General features: G+C 51.3%; 3 protein-coding genes and 1 non-coding gene across 8 annotated transcripts, besides 8 other annotated features; 1 reads left to right on the top strand and 3 right to left on the bottom strand.

Moving 5' to 3' along the window:
* Nucleotides 1-127: 127 nt before the first annotated feature.
* On the bottom strand, nucleotides 128-1,764 carry SIT1 (signaling threshold regulating transmembrane adaptor 1). Its single transcript, NM_014450.3, has 5 exons — nucleotides 1,587-1,764; nucleotides 1,335-1,470; nucleotides 1,190-1,248; nucleotides 1,017-1,078; nucleotides 128-914 (listed from the first exon to the last, which is right to left on the bottom strand). The coding sequence occupies exons 1-5, from the start codon at nucleotides 1,684-1,686 to the stop codon at nucleotides 681-683; spliced, it is 591 nt and encodes a 196-aa protein (NP_055265.1). The 5' UTR covers nucleotides 1,687-1,764; the 3' UTR covers nucleotides 128-680.
* Nucleotides 515-564: an enhancer, noted in NCBI's record as "active region_28330". NCBI's record gives its function as "activates an Ori minimal core promoter by ATAC-STARR-seq in GM12878 lymphoblastoid cells {active_cell/tissue: GM12878}" and the evidence as "EXISTENCE:reporter gene assay evidence [ECO:0000049][PMID:35858748]".
* Nucleotides 1,475-1,544: a silencer, noted in NCBI's record as "silent region_19870". NCBI's record gives its function as "represses an Ori minimal core promoter by ATAC-STARR-seq in GM12878 lymphoblastoid cells {active_cell/tissue: GM12878}" and the evidence as "EXISTENCE:reporter gene assay evidence [ECO:0000049][PMID:35858748]".
* Nucleotides 7,889-8,397: an enhancer, noted in NCBI's record as "H3K27ac-H3K4me1 hESC enhancer chr9:35657053-35657561 (GRCh37/hg19 assembly coordinates)". NCBI's record gives its function as "activates a minimal SCP1, AML or CMV promoter by ChIP-STARR-seq in naive H9 embryonic stem cells {active_cell/tissue: H9 hESC(naive)}" and the evidence as "EXISTENCE:reporter gene assay evidence [ECO:0000049][PMID:30033119]".
* Nucleotides 8,398-8,905: an enhancer, noted in NCBI's record as "H3K27ac-H3K4me1 hESC enhancer chr9:35657562-35658069 (GRCh37/hg19 assembly coordinates)". NCBI's record gives its function as "activates a minimal SCP1, AML or CMV promoter by ChIP-STARR-seq in naive and primed H9 embryonic stem cells {active_cell/tissue: H9 hESC(naive and primed)}" and the evidence as "EXISTENCE:reporter gene assay evidence [ECO:0000049][PMID:30033119]".
* On the bottom strand, nucleotides 8,583-8,852 carry RMRP (RNA component of mitochondrial RNA processing endoribonuclease). Its single transcript, NR_003051.4, has one exon.
* Nucleotides 8,988-9,247: a silencer, noted in NCBI's record as "silent region_19871". NCBI's record gives its function as "represses an Ori minimal core promoter by ATAC-STARR-seq in GM12878 lymphoblastoid cells {active_cell/tissue: GM12878}" and the evidence as "EXISTENCE:reporter gene assay evidence [ECO:0000049][PMID:35858748]".
* Nucleotides 9,125-12,344, top strand: CCDC107 (coiled-coil domain containing 107). 5 transcript variants are annotated; one of them, NM_001195200.2, is made up of 6 exons: nucleotides 9,125-9,318; nucleotides 9,409-9,560; nucleotides 11,234-11,294; nucleotides 11,390-11,480; nucleotides 11,579-11,691; nucleotides 11,773-12,344. In NM_001195200.2, exons 1-6 carry the CDS (start codon nucleotides 9,213-9,215, stop codon nucleotides 12,018-12,020), a joined length of 771 nt encoding a protein of 256 aa, NP_001182129.1. In that variant the 5' UTR covers nucleotides 9,125-9,212; the 3' UTR covers nucleotides 12,021-12,344. The 5 variants fall into 5 exon arrangements, with proteins under 5 accessions (NP_001182129.1, NP_001182130.1, NP_777583.2 ...); NM_001195201.2 differs by having other exon boundaries at nucleotides 11,599-11,691; NM_174923.3 differs by having other exon boundaries at nucleotides 11,579-12,344.
* Nucleotides 10,176-16,028, bottom strand: ARHGEF39 (Rho guanine nucleotide exchange factor 39). The gene is made up of 9 exons (NM_032818.3): nucleotides 15,865-16,028; nucleotides 15,589-15,683; nucleotides 15,205-15,325; nucleotides 14,841-14,959; nucleotides 14,155-14,225; nucleotides 13,779-13,907; nucleotides 13,345-13,574; nucleotides 13,012-13,100; nucleotides 10,176-12,835 (listed from the first exon to the last, which is right to left on the bottom strand). The coding sequence occupies exons 1-9, from the start codon at nucleotides 16,000-16,002 to the stop codon at nucleotides 12,820-12,822; spliced, it is 1,008 nt and encodes a 335-aa protein (NP_116207.2). The 5' UTR covers nucleotides 16,003-16,028; the 3' UTR covers nucleotides 10,176-12,819.
* Nucleotides 12,585-12,879: a silencer, noted in NCBI's record as "tiled region #3743; K562 Repressive non-DNase unmatched - State 17:Gen3'". NCBI's record gives its function as "represses a minimal TATA promoter and a strong SV40 promoter by Sharpr-MPRA in K562 cells {active_cell/tissue: K562}" and the evidence as "EXISTENCE:reporter gene assay evidence [ECO:0000049][PMID:27701403]".
* Nucleotides 15,817-15,896: an enhancer, noted in NCBI's record as "active region_28331". NCBI's record gives its function as "activates an Ori minimal core promoter by ATAC-STARR-seq in GM12878 lymphoblastoid cells {active_cell/tissue: GM12878}" and the evidence as "EXISTENCE:reporter gene assay evidence [ECO:0000049][PMID:35858748]".
* Nucleotides 16,047-16,196: a silencer, noted in NCBI's record as "silent region_19872". NCBI's record gives its function as "represses an Ori minimal core promoter by ATAC-STARR-seq in GM12878 lymphoblastoid cells {active_cell/tissue: GM12878}" and the evidence as "EXISTENCE:reporter gene assay evidence [ECO:0000049][PMID:35858748]".

The following is an 18,126-nucleotide window of genomic DNA, read 5'->3' on the forward strand; positions in this document are numbered from 1 at the left end:
GCAGCCCCTCTTGGCCCCTCATCCCCAGCTAGGCACCCCCAGAAAGAGCTCCGTGCAGACAGCAAAGCTCACACCCCCATCTGCAGGGCCCTTTGCAAGTCTTCAGCCTTCTAGGTAAAAATCTAAACACTTTTTGGAAAGTTTTATTTGAAAACTTGGGGACAGGACAGAGACAGCAGGATGGAGACTGTATTCTCCTGCTAGGGTTCTTAGGTCAAAAGCCAGGCTCGGGTCCCTCCCGTCTCTAAGTTCCAGGTCCACTCCAGTCTGTGGACTCCTGAGGAATATACCCACCCACCCACTGTCAGGCCCTTACCCCTCCCCCACCGCCCACTTCCTGTGCCTGAGGAGACACTGAGGCGTGGGGGTAGACTATGAGGGAGCGGGGGTGGGGAGGATCTGGTTAAACTCCAGAAGAAGGAAGTGAGAACCTGGGAGTTTGGGGGCTAAGAGGAACAGATAGAAAAAAGAAATAAGGAGGGGGCTACTGTCTTTGCCTCCTCCATCACGAAAGCTTTGCCCTGAGATGTCTCCCTTGAAGCTCAGATAGGAAGTCCGGGGTAGATCACATCCTGTGACTTGGCAATGGCGCCCGTCTTTGGGTGCTGGTTGGGAAACAGTCATGCCCCTGCTACGGGGGGCTGGGGCAGTGCACGCCCCGCTGTGCCAGGCCCTCCATCTCAGCTGGCTGCAGGCTGGCTGTTGGCATAGGCCTGATCCGGGAAGGAGGCCCGGGCCCTGCGGGTCTGGGCACATACTGAGGCATAGAGCTCCGGCTCGGGGCCCGAGGCCTGGGACTTTGGCTCAGAGTCCAGCACCACCTCCGAGTACTTGACGGGGGTTCCAGGACCGGGGATCCGACCCTGAGGAGGCCGCAGCTGCAGGCTGGTATAGCACATCACCTCCTCTGCAGCCTGGAGATGCAAGGCTGTTAGAAGTTCACTGGACCCTCGGAAAAGCCCGAAAAGCCCCCCACTTCCTTCCCTCCCCCTTTTCTCCAGCCACAGTTGACTCACCCTGGCAGGGCCTCCAAGAGTTGGATCCTGCTGGTCTGGCTCTGGGTCTTGAGACAGCCGTCCTGGGACGGGGAACAGGAATCTGGTCAGCAACTTGTCCTTCCTCCTGCACGCCCCCATCCCAGCCACCCAGGACCTGGCCTCTGTGCCCCTCCTCTCTGCCAGCTCCCTACCTGTCTGTAGATAATGCAGGTTCCCATACAGCGGGACCTCTTCCACAGACTCTCCAGAGCTGCAACGCAGAGTTTAGGGGATGAGTGGGGACTTCTCGGTAAGAGAGAACTCTCAGTCAACCCATCCCTGTTGTCCTTCACCCACCGTCCCTGCCCCGGATGGCTCCTGCTCCGGCCCCTGGTCCACTGGGACAAGTGTGCAGCCAGCGAGATGAGAAATAGCAGCGTCACAGCCCCTAAGAGGACCCACAGTCCCCAGGCCTGGGTTATGGAGGGGATTCCTGTGGATGTGAAAGGAAGGGGGGTGTAACAGCCCCGCCCCACCCCCAGGGCCCAGCAGGTGGGACCTGGGGCCACATGACCCCTCCCCCACCAGCCCCTGCCCTGCCCAGCTCACCCAGTGCGAGTAGATCCGTGCAGTTGTCGCCTCTGCTCATGGCTGCAGATGTGAGAGTCCACAAGCACACTGCTCTGAGCCGAGGGTCAGCCTGGTTCATGGCCTGACGGTTTCCACAGCACTTCTTACTCCCATCCCTCCTCAGGCCCGTACCCCGCAGCTCAGCATCCCCAATACTGGTGGTGGCAAAGTCTCTGGTTTCCGGGGAGGAAGGGGGAGGGGAGGGATGAAAAAAAGAACAAAGACCCCGCCCTGTGCCTGCACCTGCGCCACTCCTGCAGCTCCTGAGCTTCCCCCACCCTCGCTGCCCAGGCCCTTTGCCCCCCTTGAGAAGAGAAGCAGGCCTGTGGGTAATGTGCCACGGGCAGTTGAGTCCCTGAGGACTCTGAGGGCGGGGGGTGGGGGCAGAAGTGGTGTGAAGCAGGACTAACAAGGACAGGAACACCCCTTCTGCTCCAGGATGCCCACCTTCCTCCCTGACTCTGGTCCCAGAAGAAAGATGTATTCCTCAATGAGTATGGTATAAAGTGGAAGGGTCGGGGGAGCCTCCTGGTACCTCTGATCCCATCACACCCTAAGGCTGATCTGAGAGGATATGTGTTTAGATGATGCTTGTTATTGTTTCATTGGGGGCATTATAATTTGGGGGACACCCCCAAACCTCCCCTTTCAACCCACTTCATCCAAACTGTCTGTAAGAACTGTCACTCTCAATAATTAATTGCATTTTAAAACTCTTTGCTGTAGGACTGTCCTGGGAAACTGAGCCCTATCTTGCACATGTTCACTTCAGCGGGTGTAGTACCTGCCATACCTAGAGCTAACTCCATCACGTGCAAGGCTATTGATGTAGGAAGAGGGATTTTAAGTTGCAAATATAAACCTGAGACCAGAAGTCAGAGATGTGTTTTGTCTAGCCCATACAACATTTTTTAAAAGTTTAAAATCAGTGCAGTGGCATGCCAACAATAGGGATGGCAGAAGTCCTGCCCCTTGAGTTGCAGGCAATAAGGGGGTGCATTGTCTGTAGAGAATTTAAAAAATAAAAATCAGTCCTCTTATTATCACCATGTTCCAGAAATTCTGAAAAAAAAAATCAGTGATAAAATTATCCTCCCTGAAAAATATTTTATGGATCTAAGTTTTATATTTTTTTTGAGACAGGGTCTTACTTTGTCTCCCAGGTTGGAGTGCAGTAACACAATCTCAGCTCACTGCAGCCTTGACGATCTCCCGGGCTCAAGTGATCCTCCCATCTCAGCCACCTAAGCAGCTAGGACTACAGGCATGTGCCACCACACCCAGCTAATCTAGTTCATTTTTTGTAGAGATAGGTCTCCCTGTGTTGCCAGGCTGGTCTCAACTCCTGACCTCAAGCAACCTGCCCACCTCGGTCTCCCAAAGTGCTGGAATTACAGGCATGAGCCACTGCGCCCAGCCCAGATCTAACTTTTAAATTGCTGTAGTGGACCAGGTGCAGTGGCTCATTCCTGTAATACCAGCACTTTGGAGGCCAAGGCAGCAGGAGGATTGCTTGAGGCCAGGAGTTCAAAACCAGTCTGAGCAATATAGTGAGACCCTCCATCTCTACCAAAAAACAAACAAAAACAGTAGACAGGCCTGATGACACAAGCGTGTAGTCCTAGCTACTTGGGAGACTGAGGTGGGAGGATCACTTGAGCCCAGGAGTTGGAGGCTGCAGGGAGCTATGATTATGCCACTGCACTCCAGCCTGGGCGACAGACGGAGAGACCCTGTCTCTACAGTAGATGCACAAATACCATTGTCTTACAACTGCCTACAGTATTCAGTATGGTAACATGCTGTAAGCATTGGGGCCTAGGAGCACCAGGCTATACCATGTAGCCTAGATGGGTAATAGGCTACACCATCTAGGTTTGTGAAAATACACTCTATGATGTTTGCACAATGACAAAATTGCCTAGTGACTCATTTCTCAGAACATATCCCTGTTGTTAAGCAATGCATGGCTGTTTTTATGCTGACATGATTATATTTACAAAGTTCAAGGAAAGAAAATATTCACTGAGTTTATTTCTTGGCCCTTATTATTCATTTTATAATTGCCATTGAGAATAATTTTGTCATATAAAGAATGTTTAAATTTGTTTTAATTTTATTTATTTATTTATCTGAGATGGAGTCTCCCTCTGTCGCTCAGACCAGACCGCAGTGGCACAATCTCGGCTCACTTGCCCAGGCTGGAGAGAAGTGGCGTGCCTGGCCATAAAGCATTTTTTTAAATGATCCACTTGAAAAATAAAACTTTGTTCCAGGCATGGTGGCTCATGCCTGCAATTCCAGCACGTTGGGAGGGTGAGGCAAGAGGATCGCTTGAGCCCAGGAGTTCAAGAACAGCTTGGGCAACATGGCAAAACCCCGTCTTTACCAAAAATACAAAAAATTAGCCAGGTGTGATGGTGCACGCCTGTGGTCCCAGCTACTCGAGAGGCTGAGGTGGGAGGATTGCTTGAGCCTAGGAGGTAGAGGTTTCAGTGAGCCAAGATCAAGCCTCTGCACTCCAGCCTGGGCAACAGAGTGAGACCCTGCCCCCCACCCCCAAAAAAAGAAAGAAAACAAGAAAAATTTGGGTCTGGGCATGGTGGCTCACGCCTGTAATCCCAGCACTTTGGGATGCTGAGGTGGGTGGATCACCTGAGGTCAGGAGTTTGAGAGCAGCCTGGTCAACATGGTGAAACCTCGTCTCTACTAAAAATACAAAAATTAGCCGGGCATGGTGGCAGGTACCTGTAATCCCAGCTACTCTGGAGGCTGAGGCACAAGAATTGCTTAAACCCAGGAGGTGGAGGCTGCAGTGAGCCAAGATCACTCCACTGCACTGCAGCCTGGGCGACAGAGCAAGACTCCATCTCAAAAAAAAAAAAAAAAAGAAAGAAAGAAAAATTTGGGCCAGGTGTGATGGCTCACACCTGTAATCACAGCACTTTGAGAGGCTGAGGTGGGAGGATAGCTTGGGCCCAAGAGTTTGAGACCAGCCTAACCAACATAGTGAGATTCCCATCTCTGCAAAAAATTAAAAAATTAGCGAGGCATGGGGGCATGTGTGCCTGTAGTCACAGCTACTTAAGAGGCTGAAGTGGGAAGATTGCTTGAGCCTGGGAGATAGAGGCAGCAGTAAGCCATGATTGTGCCACTGCACCACTCCAGCCTGGGCAACAGAGTGAGAGCTTGTCTCAAAAAAAAAAAAAAAAAAAGACAGAAAAGAAAGAAAAATGTTTTTTAAATGATCCGGAACAGGCAAGGTGGCTCACACTTGTAATCCCAGTACTTTGGGAGGCTGAGGCAGGCAGATTCCTTGAGGCCAGAAGTTCAAGACCAGCCTGGGCAATACCCTGGTCTCTACAAAAAACAAACAAACAAACAAACAAAAAACAACAACAAAAAAACACACAAATTAGCTGGGCATGGTGGTGTGCACCTGCAGTCCCAGGTACTCAGGAGGCTGATCCAAGAAATTTGGGGCTGCAGTGAGCCATGGTCTCACCACTGCACTCCTGACTGGGCAGCAGAGGGAGACCCTGTCTCTCTCTCTCTCTCTCACACACACACACACACACACACACACACACACACACACACAAAGACCACTTGGTGTCAAATATGCTAAGTATGCCACTGATTCCTTGTCAACAGTTAAAAATTGGGAGATTTCAAATTTTTAAAATTCTAATTTGTTGATTCCTTCAAAAAAAGATCTGGCAATAGTGCCCTGAGTTCTCTAAAGGCAATAATCAGTTGGGGACCACTTATCATTATTATATCTGGCCTGAACCCCTTATTTACACCGACTGTGCCAACTGGCTTAGATTCAAGATTTCTATTACCCTGCTTTGCGTACCCAGGCTGTCACTGGGTCATCAGCTAGACCACTGGTCCCCAGCCGTTTTGGCACCAGGGACAGGTTTTGTGGGAGACAATTTTTCCATGCACAGGAGTATGGGAGGAGGGGATGGTTTTGGGATAAAACTGTTCCACCTCAGATCATCAGGTATTGTGGTTTTTTTGTTCTGTTTTGTTTTTTTGACAGGGTCTCGCTCTGTCACCCAGGCTGGAGTGCAGTGGTGCAATCTTGGCTCACTGCAACCTCGCCTCCTGGGTTCAAGCAATTCTTATGCCTCAGCCTCCCAAGTAGCTAGGATTACAGGCATGCGCCACCATGCGCAGCTAATTTTTGTATTTTTATTAGAGACTTTTTTTTTTTTTTAACCATATTGTCCAGGCTGGTCTTGAACTCCTGGCCTCAAGAGATCCACCCACCTTGGCTTCCCAAAGTGCTGGGATTACAGGCATCAGCCACTGCACCTGGCCTAGATTTTCATAAGGAGCCCACAACATCACGTGCATGCACAATTCACAATAGGGTTCGTGGCCCTATGAGAATCTAACACTGCACTGATCTGACAGGAGACAGAGCTCAGGCGGTAATGCCAGGATGGAGAGTGGCTGTATATACAGATGAAGCTTCCCTCGCTACTCCGCCGCTCACCCTTGCTCCTCCGCTGCTCACCTCCTGCTGTGCGGCCCAGTTCCTAACAGGCCATGGACCAATAGTGTTGGGGACCCTTGAACTACACTATGATAACTCCCCTTGGTGAGGGTTTCTCCCTGTCCTGCCCTTCCTCCTCCTTTCAGGAAAAACAAGAAGACACACCCATATTTCATTTATTTATTTATTTATTTATTTATTTATTTATTTATTTAGAGATGGAGTCTTGCTCTGACACTGAGGCTGGAGTGCAGTGGCGCGATCTCTGTTCACTGCAACCTCCGCCTCCCAGGTTGAAGCTATTCTTATGCCTCGGCCTCCTGAATAGCTGGGATTACAGGTGCTGGCCACCACACCTGGTTAATTTTTGTTTTTGTTTTGTTTTTCTGAGGCGGTGTCTCACTCGTTTGCCCAGGCTGGAGTGCAGTGGCACGATTTCGGCTTACTGCAACCTCCACCTCCCAGGTTCCCGTGATTCTCCTGTCTCAGCCTCCCAAATAGCTGGGACTGCAGGCGCCCGCCACCACACCCGGCTAATTTTTCTATTTTTAATAGAGACGAGATTTAGCCATGTTGGCCAGGCTGGTCTCAAACTCTTGACCTCAGGTGATCCTCCTGCCTCGGCCTCCCAAAGTGCTGGGATTAGAGGCATAAGCCACCGATCTTGGCTTCATTCATTTATTTAACACACATGATGTACTGATTGCCTGTTTGTATGCCAGGCTCTGGAGATAAAAATGTGATGAATGGAAATGGTTTCATGTCAGGGAGCTCTTGATCTAACTAGACAGATGACCCAGTGTATCCCAATTAAGAGACCATGGAAGGCTCTGTGGAACAGAAGGAATACCTGCCTGCCTGGTGAAGTCATGGAAGACAAGGATGGGGAAAGGCTGTTCGACAGAAGGTATAGAGACAGGCAAAAAACTGGTGAAATCACCACCCTGCCTCTTACCTGATTAGTAGCATACTTAACCTTGCTGAATTGCAGTTGCCTCATTCTTTGAAAGAGCTTAACTATATTACCCTTTTGGGTCATTTTAACCATTCATTAATTTCATTCAACAACGATTCATTGAGTGCCTGCTATCGCCAGGCGCCACGTGCTGTGCTAGGCTCTGGGAGTAAAATGGTAAAGAAAAAAGAGAGGTGGCTCCTGCCCTTGTGGAATTTAGGACCAGCCTAGCTCAAGGGTCTCCAACACCCGGCCACAGGCCAGCACCAGCCTGTGGCCTGTTAGGCTCCGGGCCACATAGCAGGATGTGGGCAGTGGGGCCAGCAATCATTACCGCCTGAGCTCCGCCTCCTGTCAGATGAGCACGGCATTAGATTCTCATAGGAGCGCGAACCATATTGTGAACTGTGCATGGGAGGGATCTAGGTTGCACGCTCCTCGTGAGAATCTAATGCTTGACGATCTGAAGTGGAACAGTTTCATCCGGAAACCATCCCTCCACCCCGCTTCGTCCATGGAAAAATTGTCTTCCACGAAACCGGTCCCTGATGCCAAAAAGGTTGGGGACTGCTTGTCTAGTGGTATTGAAGAAAGTGAAATAGCGGCACTAAAGAATAAATTAGAAGTTGAATTAAGGGTTCCGAATGATGGGAACACACTTGAGCTGAGAACTGAAGGTCGTGTAGAACCCAGTATGCAGAAAGGGAATGCAGCGGCATGTCAGGGAGAGTCAGTGTAATTTCAACTGTCTGGCTTACAGTAGTAGCTGCTCAAGTTAAAAAATCACTAGAGTCCGTCGGGGTGGCACGTGCCTGTAATGTCAACTACCCGGGAGGCTGAAGCGGGAGGATCCCAGGAGTTTAAGACCAGCCTGGGCAAGAGAGCGACCCGCCGTTCCAAAAAAAAAAAAATCACTAATAAGTAGGCACGGTTCTAACTTGAGTGATCCCATTTAATCATCATAGCTCTTGAAGTAAGTGCTTATCTTCATTCCTCAGAGTGGAAAGGAAGGCACGGAGAGAGAACTAAGTTTCACAAGGTCACCGCTCTTGAGTACAGGAGGCAGGATTCTAGCCCAAGCAGAGTCCATATGTTGTGTACCAGCTACACAGTGAATGGTGGCTACTATGGCGTTTGCCAAAGGGAGAGGGAGGTAGAAGAGGAGGCTGTTTCAGGAATGCTCCATATTTGGAGTAATGAGCACAAGGACTTCATAGCAAGGCCAAGAACAGCGTAAAGCTGCCCGCGCATGAAAAGCAGCCGCGTTGACCGGGCGCGGTGTCACGCCTGTAATCCCAGCACTTTGGGAGGGCGAGGTGGACTGATCGCTTGACACCAGGCGTTCGAGACCAGCCTGGGCAACAGGTGAAAATCCGTCTCTACAAAAAATACAAAAATTAGCCAGGCATGATGGCGTGCGCCTGCGGTCCCAACTACTTGGGAGCCTGAGGTGAGGCATCGCGTGAGCCCGGGGAGGTCGAGGCTGCAGTGAGCCGTGGTCTCGGGAACAAAAAACAGCCGCGCTGAGAATGAGCCCCGTGTGGTTGGTGCGCGGACACGCACTGCCTGCGTAACTAGAGGGAGCTGACGGATGACGCCCCCGCGCCACGCCGCTCAGCGGGATACGCTTCTTGGCGGACTTTGGAGTGGGAAGCGGGGAATGTCTACGTGCGTATGCACGTGGCACTCTCTGCCCGAGGTCCGGGGACTTTCCCCTAGGCGGAAAGGGGAGGAACAGAGTCCTCAGTGTGTAGCCTAGGATACAGGCCTTCAGCACGAACCACGTCCTCAGCTTCACAGAGTAGTATTTTATAGCCCTAAAGAAATTGTGTTTTATGATTAGGGTGAGAAAGTTGGTGGCGTGAGATTAAAAAAACCGTTTTCGGGCATAACTTTCTAAGACTATAGGCTTTCAGAGGCATTGTGGCTAGCAGAATAGCTAATAGACACGAAATGAACAAATACAGGAAAGCTAGAATGACACTATCTTATGCAAATATGGTCTGGCCCCGCCCTACGGGGAGTGGGCGTGGCCTCCCCGGAGCCGGCCGGCCTGCTCGCGTGCGCGTGCGCGTTGGGGCGGCCGGCCAATGCCGGACCGCTTCGGCACCGCCCGCCCGATCCCTCCACCCGTGGGCCGGCAATGGCGGGCGCAGTTTCGCTCTTGGGTGTGGTGGGGCTGCTGCTTGTGTCTGCGCTGTCCGGGGTCCTAGGAGACCGCGCCAATCCCGACCTCCGGGCACACCCAGGTACCAGCTAGGGCTGCTGGAGGAGGGCTGGGACTGCGCACGGGTCCCAGGCCCCAGCTCGGCTGACTCGCCTGTATCCTCCCTCCGCAGGGAACGCAGCCCACCCCGGCTCTGGAGCCACGGAACCCCGGCGGCGACCACCGCTCAAGGATCAACGCGAGCGGACCCGGGCCGGGTCGCTGCCTCTGGGGGCGCTGTACACCGCGGCCGTCGCGGCTTTTGTGCTGTACAAGTGTTTGCAGGTACGGGGCGGCCGGGGGTAGGGGTGCCCCTGCAGGTGCGGGACCGCCGGGCGTGGGGATCCCCTGAGCCCGAATCTCCCATGGGGGTGCCAGGGTACCAAGAACAAGACACAGCTTCCCTGTCTGTAAAATAAAGACAGTAGTCCGTTGGCCTTCCAATATTATGAGGTTATTTTGAGGATCCAGGGAGGTAACGGATGTGAAGAGCGTGTGGTGAACTGTAAATAATGACTATCACATTTAGTTCTCCTACAATCCAGTGAGGAGTAGTCACTTGCTCGAGGTCACCCAGCGCTGGCAACTGCTGGAGCTGGGATTTGAACCCAGCTAGCAGTGTCCATGCTACAAGAGTGGGGCCAGCCTTGGCACAGGAGGTTGATTGCTGCAGCCAGTGTTTCTAGAGTTCCAGATATGAAGTGGTCTCATGTTCTCCTTGGGAGGAGGCCCTGAAATGTAAGTTGACAGTACATTTTGAAAAACAGTACCTTCCAGGGCTGTGTCTTTAGCCGTGACCCTATTACGTACTTGCATTATAAAATAGAACCGATGGAACCAGTTTAGATATATGAAACTAGAAGAGATAGCTAATAATGACCCCAGGTAGATGTGACAGGCTAGGATGAATGACTGAATTTAATGATGAACTTTGAGAAGGATAGACTAGTAAATTCTGTTCTTGGACCTGAGTACAGTCTGGGAGAAACATAATGTAGCAGGAGGTCTTATGAAAGAGAGTTAGGCATTCCAGTTGACTGAGTTCACTGTGGGATGTGACAAGCCACTTCCCAAATCAGTGCTGGGAACATGGCACTGTGCTTCACCTGCCAATCAGAATGCCCCTGGAGAATTGTATTCTCCTCAGGGCATTGCTTTAAGAGCACTACGTGTTCAGGAAACAACCAGAGAAAACCACCGTCAATGAGCACTGACTGTAAAGACTGACGTTAATAAACCAGAAAAAACTCAGGAAAGTGGGTGAGGGTGTGACCATTGCCTTCAAATTCCTGAGGGGCTGTCACCTTGAGGAGACATTATTTTGGAAGGCTCCAGTAAGCACTATGGAAAGAAGATACATAAAGGACAAATTTTGGCTTTGTGCATGAACTGTCTAACAACCAAAGTTTTTGTTTTTTTCGAGATGGAGTCTCGCTCTGTCACCCAGGCTGGAGTGCAGCGGCGCAATCTCGGCTCACTGCAACCTCTGGCTCCCAGGTTCAAGCGATTCTCCTGCCTCAGCCTCTCAAGTAACTGGGATTACAGGCACCTGCCACCACGCCCGGCTAATTTTTGTATTTTTAATAGAGACAGGGTTTCACCGTGTTGGCCAGGCTGGTCTCAAACTCCTGACCTCAGGTGATCCACCCACCTTGGCTTCCCGAAGTGCTGGGATTACAGGTGTGAGCCACAGCACTCAGCCACCAGAGCTTTTTTCAAACCGGAGGGAGTTGCTCATTCCTGGAGGTGTTTCAGCAAACTGACCATGTGTGGGACATAGGACGTCGCTTCATATGCTGGGTGAGGAGCTAGATAGACTAGGATTGTGATTCTCTGAGGTAAAAACCCAATCACTGTCTCCATCTCAAATTGCACTCTCTCTTGGCTGGCTCTGGAGACTGAGGTGATGGAGCAGAACCTTGTTGCTTCAGTACTGCCCTTTCCTTCTTCCACAACAGGGGAAAGATGAAACTGCGGTTCTCCACGAGGAGGCAAGCAAGCAGCAGCCACTGCAGTCAGGTGGGTTTAGCAGAAGTCTGTGCTGGGTCGGGGGAGTTTAGGGGACAGCAGAAGATACATAACCACTTCTGCCCCCTTTTTTCCCTTATCCCCAGAGCAACAGCTGGCCCAGTTGACACAACAGCTGGCCCAGACAGAGCAGCACCTGAACAACCTGATGGCCCAGCTGGACCCCCTTTTTGAGCGGTGAGGAGAGCAATGATTCTGTGAATTTTTGGGGAATTTGTGGCAGGAGGGAGGAATGGGGACATAGGTTGGGAGCCACTGAGTGGACATTTCTTCAGTGTGACTACTCTGGCTGGAGCCCAGCAGGAGCTTCTGAACATGAAGCTATGGACCATCCACGAGCTGCTGCAAGATAGCAAGCCGGACAAGGATATGGAGGCTTCAGAACCAGGTGAAGGCTCGGGAGGCGAGTCTGCTGGAGGTGGAGACAAAGTCTCTGAAACTGGAACATTCCTGATCTCTCCCCACACAGAGGCCAGCAGACCTCTTCCTGAGGACTTCTGTTTAAAGGAGGACGAGGAGGAGATTGGTGACAGTCAGGCCTGGGAGGAGCCCACAAACTGGAGCACAGAGACATGGAACCTAGCTACTTCCTGGGAGGTGGGGCGGGGACTACGGAGAAGGTGCAGCCAGGCTGTGGCAAAGGGCCCCAGTCACAGCCTTGGCTGGGAAGGAGGGACGACAGCTGAAGGTCGACTAAAACAAAGTCTGTTTTCATGATGGAGTGCTCCTGTGTGTTTTTTCGATCCTAGTTGGTTGTACACACCCATACTAGGTGCCTAAGGACAACTGGGCCTTCTTGAAGAGCTGTCCTTATTAGGACAAAAAGAGGCTGCCTTCCAGTGTGACAGCAGAGAAGATAGAGGGAGCTCCAGCTCTTTTCCTCGTATTCCTGAGGCCACCAGCATGCCCGCGTTCAGGGCCCAAAAATCCCTTTTCTCATAGCAAAACTGAGACAGAAGGGTCTTTCCCAAAAAAAAGAAAAAAAACTTTACTCAAATCCAGTGGAAAAATAAATGATAGAAACTATACACAACATAAAAATAGCCACATTTACAAAGCTGCAGCCTTGATAAATGACGGGCCATGGACACAGCACAGAGCTTATCAGTCCCAAATCCCCTCATCTGTGTTAGGGGCTGGTTCATTTGAGGTTTAGTTGGGTTGGACTTGGTTTCCTGATTCTTCTTTTTTAATAAAATTTCTTAATTATTTTTTCTTAAATAGAGACAGGGTCTCACTCACTGTGTTGCCCAGGCTGGTCTTGAACTCCTGGGCTGGAATGATCCTGCCACCTCTGCTTCCCAAAGTGCTGGGATTACAGGCATGAGCCACTGTGCCTGGCCGTGATTTTTAAGAGTTGGTCAGATGATCTGGAGTAGCTTGGTCCAGGCAAACAGAAAGTGACCTTTGTCAAATCATGAAGGGTTCTGTTTTGTTCAGTACTGAAGATTCCTTTGTACTCTTGGCTGTGACCTATCCCTGAGGTATCCTGAGTTCTGGAATCTATAAGATTCCTCTAGTTTTTCTGGCTGCTGTGGAGAGAAGACAGTCAGTTCAGGCACTGGTATGAGTGCTTTATTCAGACAAAATCATCTGGGGGTTGGTGGCTGGGGTGTGCCAGACCAATGTAGGGCATGAGACAGGAACTGCATATTTCCTGCTTGTGGGCCTCATCACAGCACCCTTCCTGGGGGAAGACACAACTTACCTGATAGCCCAAGTCAGACTGTGGTACCAGCGTGACAGCTCCTCCTGGTCTGTGGACATAAGCAGTAGCTTCTCATGAGGGAAGGACAGCTAGAGAGAGACCACCTCTTAGCGCATGGCTCAGAAAGGTCCAGGCTAAAGCTGAAGCCCTTGCTGTTTCCATGGAGCTAATTCAGGGATGAGACAATGACTAGGTATGAAGCCCGAGCCCCAGCTATCCTCTCTCAATGTAGATGGCTCTGTTCCTATGAAAAGGGACCCAGACCAGGGAGATAAACCAGCCCATAAGCATCTGAGACATATTTTGGGTCTAGGGTTCCCACCTATTACTTACACTGAGCAACCCACCACAAGGGCCTCCTGAGTGGCCAAAGACCCTGCTGAGATGACACTGGGCCATGGGGTAGAGGGCCTTGCAGGCAAAGGTGCCACTCCGCAGCAGGTGCAGTGGAGGCCGAGGCTTGGCCATGAGGAGCACATCAGTGAAGAGGAAGAACATGCGGGGCCGAGGCTCCCCATGGGGAGGCACCACTAACAGCCAGCCCTGGCGTAGGAACCAGCGCCCTGGGGGATGGGAGCGCTGTTATTCTGGTGCAGCTTCAAGATACATGGGAATAAGAGGAAAGGGAGGCTGAGAAAATAGGGGTTATGTGCTGGGTCAGTACAGGAAGAAGGGTGAGTAAGAAAAGAGCAGCTGGTCGGCATTTGGAGTTAGATAAAAATAAAAGATGGGGCAGTTGAGGATTGAAGGGGAAGTAGGCAAGCTACCTGAGGTCAGCCCCTTTGCCTGGCGTCCACTGAGCAGAGCCTGGACACGCCGAAGGTGCTGGTCATTCTTCTGTTTCTGACCAATAGTATGGACTCTCTGGGCAGTCTCACTTATCAGTCGGGCAGCCCCTGGAATAACATCTCCCACCTTACTCCCCATACAACTTTGACTTTGGGTGCCATGGTTGTGAAAGAGGTTATTCTGGAAGGGACCAGGGTCAGGGTCTGACTTCTTGAAGAAAAGGCAGAGCAGTAGGGACACTGTATACATGTCAGTGGAAGATAGGGTCATACCAGACATTGTTGGAGGTCAGAATCAGAAAGGAATACAGGAGAGGAAGCCTCCAGCCTGCGTTGCCGAGGAGCAAGAACCTACGTGTGAGCTGTTGATGGTCAGGGCTGTTGGGACCTGTGTTTTCAGCCAAAGCTACGACGAGATTCTCATACCTGGAATTCAACAGTGGGAAGTCTGAGGGGAAGCAGAGCCAGGCAGAATTCCCCCTGCCTGATGTGCAGATCACCCTCTACCCATACTTCAATTGAAGGCCAGGAAAGATCTGCTTCTGGCTACTGTATCCCCTTCTTTCATGTAGGACTCAGAACCAGGCTCACACCACACAGCCCTCTTCCATCCCACACTGAAGAGTCACTGGCAGACTAGCCATACTTCAGGAGGCCAGATTGGAAGATGAAAGTTTATCAACCCAAGGAGGATGCTACAGACAGCCTGACTATAGCCCTTAACTCAGGCTTAACCCAGAGACAGAAATTCTAACCCAGGCCAGCCCCGCATCTGAAACTTTTCCAGAAACCGTGCCTCAGGCCCTAGTACAGGCCCCCTCACTTCAATTTAAAGTTCCACAGTTCCAGCTGAGGGCCTCAGGCTGCAGACCCTGGGTACTCCAATGGGTTCACATTTACTCTTGCAAAAGGTTTTTAGAAGCAATTTGGCTCAGGGTCGAGGCAAGAGTTTGGGATCGACCCCAAGGCATCCCACAAAGCTGAGGGCAGCAGTCATACAAACTAAAAGAGAGAGGCGGCTGGAATCAAGAGTTCACTCACTGCTGGAGCCGTTGCAGAGGCAGAGGGAGCAGGTCCTGGAGCTGAAGGCCCCCAAACTCAGGGCGGCCTTCCTGAAGCCGTACAAACCTCCGGAAACCTTTATTTTTCTTTAGCTGCTCCTGGAGTGAGGGAGAAAGGATTGGAAGCAGGGAGAGAAGCCACTCCTTATATTGCATTCATCTGTATCCACATTCCCAGCCTTCAGTAAGCTGTGCTCCTGAGAGAAACTCTCGTTTCTCTACAAGGAACTTACCACAGAGCTGAGCACCCAGAGGGCTCTATAAATGCAGGAAATGTATGAAGTTTGGGTCTCCAGATGAAGGGGAAAGGTAAGGGGCAAGATTTGAGGTCATCTCCAGGTTACCTGCAGGGTGGTCTGGGACCTCTCTGAGTTGGCAGCAAATTGGTTATAGAGCTCCAAGTGGCGGCAGAAGCCCTCCAGCCCTTGGCCCCAGCATCCTCCTTCCAGGTAGGGAAGCAGCTCCCTGTGTGGGCAAGGACAGCAAAAGGGCAGCTCTAGAACCACTCAAGCACCACCTCATTTAGTTTTCATGAGAATAGCACTAATAGTAGTGCTATTACCCCATTGTACAGATGGAGAACAAGGGCATGCTAAGGCCCTGGGCCAAGGCCACAGGTGAGCTAACTGGCGGACTCCAAATAGAACCTAAGTCTGACTCCAAGCTCTGTGCACGGCCACAGGCCAGGACTCTCCCTCCTTTCCTCTCCCTGTGCCCCTTCCACTCACTGGCTGGCGCCGTAGATGAGCTCCCAGGAGCCAAACAGGGCCTGGCGCTCAGGTGGTCGCAGGGTCCCCTTGGCTTTCAGGATCCCCAAAAAGTACTGCGGAAGGAGAGAACATTGGTTCTTAGCCTAGAGGAAGAGAAGGCTAACGCCAAGCGCCCCCAGAAACCGCAGAAGTCTGCCCAGGCTCCCTACATGCTCCGGGTTACCGACCTCGCAGAGACCCTCCCACACCCTGGGGTCCCTGTCCTATAATGGGAGCGTGTGCCAGGTCCCCCACCGTGGCCACCAGCCCCAGCTGTTCTTGGTAGCGCCGCTCGGTCTCTAGCAGCTCCCGGGCGGTGCAGGCGCGTTTCCGCTCCCAGCGGGCACGCTGCTCTTGCACCGGGCACCGCGAACCGGGGCAGGAGAGCTCCATGCCCTGGCTGAGGGATCGACACTTCCGGCTGCAGTCCGCGGCAGATTCAAATCCCAACCGCTCGCGGGCGGGAGCCGCGGAGGCGGGGCCGGGGAGGGCAGCGCGCAGGAAGGAGCATGCGCGGCGAGCGGCCGGACCGCGCAGGGTCTCTTCTGTCCAGCCCCACCGCCAGAGCGGCGCTTTAGGTGCGCGGCGCCGGCCAAGGCAGGGCAGGGCAGGGCAAGGTTGGGGGCAGGTGTGGAGCCCTCCTCTGAGTGGCACTATGTTGGAGCAGCAGCCTGAACTTTGAGTCAGGAGACGGGCTGCAGATGCTGGCAGGAACTTAATGTCCTATCTGGAGAATTGGGACGGGGGGCGGTCATTACAGTACACATTCTGTCCTGGGCCCATGCCAAATGCCAGGGGGTCAGTTGTTCCCAGAATTGGCTAGGAAAAGGTATAGCCATTTGAAGGAATGATATGAAAGTATTAAAAATGGTGTTGTAAAGAAGCTATCGATATGGGAAAACGCACATAGTAAGTATATTGCTGAGAGGAAAAAAAGCAGGCTACAAAGGTGTATAATATAATCCCCTTTGTATAAAACATATATAAAATGTTGGAAGGCAAAACAATCAAAAGTTAACTCTGTTGCCAGGCACGGGAGCTCACACCTGTAATTCCAGCACTTTGGGAGGCAGAGGCAGGAGGATCACCTGAGCCCAGGAGTTCGAGACTCCATCTCTCCAAAAAAAAAATAAATAAATAAAAAATAAAAATAAAAAGTTAACTGTGGTTTTTATCTCCGGGTAATGGAATTGAAGATAATGTGTTTAACAAATGTGTATTAAGTACCTAATCTGTATCTGTGCCAGGCACTGGATCACTGAAGCTAAAGGGATGAATGGGACAAACAGGGTGATTTTAAAAATTCTCTTATACTTCTGCCTTTCCCAAGTTTTCTACATTAAGCATGCATTACTTTGTAGTTAGAAAAAAAAAGTTATTAAAAAAAACAAAATGTCAGAAACTTTAGGCTCCCTCCCTACTGTTTTGGACTCCTAGGAATCTGGGCCGCAAGCCAAGAACCAGAGGATTGTCAGGGTTCTGAGGTCTCTACCACCTCCCCACCAGCTCTGACATTCTAAGAATTCTAAGAAAGGAATAATGCTGGGCTTAGACCAGGGAGGAATAACTTGAAGGGCTTGGATGAAGGAAGGGGAGAGTTTGGATCAGACTGTACCTTGGGCTTATGTCCCAAGGAAACTGGTGGTGATACCAGATAGGTAAAGGACTGGTTACACTGTCTCAAGTGAATGTGGGACAGTCCACACACTAAGAGCTCAAACATGGAAGAGGACAGATAATCCCATGGTAATTGGTGTCACTGTGAGCCCAGGTGATGAGAGTAGACCACAACACCTGGGGTGCAGTTGGTGATGGGTGTGTTTGTGAATGCTGCCAGTGTGTGTTAGTGCTTTGGGTGGGTGGAAGAGGGGTGGGGAATAGAGCCTCCTGTGAGCATCGGTTGGGGAATCATTCAACTCTAGAAGAGGAAGAGGGCAAAGCCGAGAAGACACACTGAAAACAGTTGGTGACAACTAATTCCCTGGGGACCGAGTCTCCCACAGAGCAAGTCAGGCACACCATACTCTACCTGGAACAGCTGCTAAACTCCGCTCCCACAGCCAAAGATAGGAGGGGCCAACAGGAGGAGGTTCAGAGGATAGTCAATAACCCCTTTATTCTTTAATTATCCTCAAATTTTGCTTTCAATCCGATGGATGCTGGAGAAGCACTAGGGATGCTTTGAACAACAATCATCAGTCATTCAACAAAATTAGGCTGGGCATGGTGGCTCACGCCTGTAATCCCAGCACTTTGGGAGGCTGAGGCAGGCGGATCACCTGAGGTCGGGAGTTACAGTTACAATGGCTGTGTGCTTCTTTATGTGTTGTCAGAGACCAGCCTGACCAATGTGGTGAAACCCCGTCTCTACTAAAAATACAAAATTAGCCGGGCATGGTGGCACGTGCCTGTAATCCCAGCTACTTGGGAGGCTGAGGCAGGAGAATCGCTTGAACCCAGGAGGCAGAGGTTGCAGTGAGCCGAGATCATGCCATCGCACTCCAGCCTGGGCAATAA

This window comes from Homo sapiens, chromosome 9, assembly GCF_000001405.40.
Source record: "Homo sapiens chromosome 9, GRCh38.p14 Primary Assembly".
In the NCBI taxonomy this organism is placed as follows: Eukaryota; Metazoa; Chordata; class Mammalia; order Primates; family Hominidae; genus Homo; species Homo sapiens.

What these genes read in the sequence shown, in the direction of transcription:
- SIT1 (NM_014450.3), bottom strand. Translation starts at nt 1,686, where the DNA reads ATGAACCAGGCTGACCCTCGGCTCAGAGCAGTGTGCTTGTGGACTCTC. An exon ending in CCTGCATTATCTACAGACAG is followed by an intron (nt 1,079 to 1,189) that starts GTAGGGAGCTGG and finishes TCCCCGTCCCAG; the next exon opens with GACGGCTGTCTCAAGACCCA. An exon ending in CTCTTGGAGGCCCTGCCAGG is followed by an intron (nt 915 to 1,016) that starts GTGAGTCAACTG and finishes TTGCATCTCCAG; the next exon opens with GCTGCAGAGGAGGTGATGTG.
- CCDC107 (NM_174923.3), top strand. Translation starts at nt 9,213, where the DNA reads ATGGCGGGCGCAGTTTCGCTCTTGGGTGTGGTGGGGCTGCTGCTTGTG. An exon ending in GCAGCAGCCACTGCAGTCAG is followed by an intron (nt 11,295 to 11,389) that starts GTGGGTTTAGCA and finishes CCTTATCCCCAG; the next exon opens with AGCAACAGCTGGCCCAGTTG. An exon ending in CTGGACCCCCTTTTTGAGCG is followed by an intron (nt 11,481 to 11,578) that starts GTGAGGAGAGCA and finishes ACATTTCTTCAG; the next exon opens with TGTGACTACTCTGGCTGGAG.
- ARHGEF39 (NM_032818.3), bottom strand. Translation starts at nt 16,002, where the DNA reads ATGGAGCTCTCCTGCCCCGGTTCGCGGTGCCCGGTGCAAGAGCAGCGT. An exon ending in GGCAAAGGGGCTGACCTCAG is followed by an intron (nt 13,575 to 13,778) that starts GTAGCTTGCCTA and finishes CCCATCCCCCAG; the next exon opens with GGCGCTGGTTCCTACGCCAG. An exon ending in CTTGTGGTGGGTTGCTCAGT is followed by an intron (nt 13,101 to 13,344) that starts GTAAGTAATAGG and finishes GTCTCTCTCTAG; the next exon opens with CTGTCCTTCCCTCATGAGAA.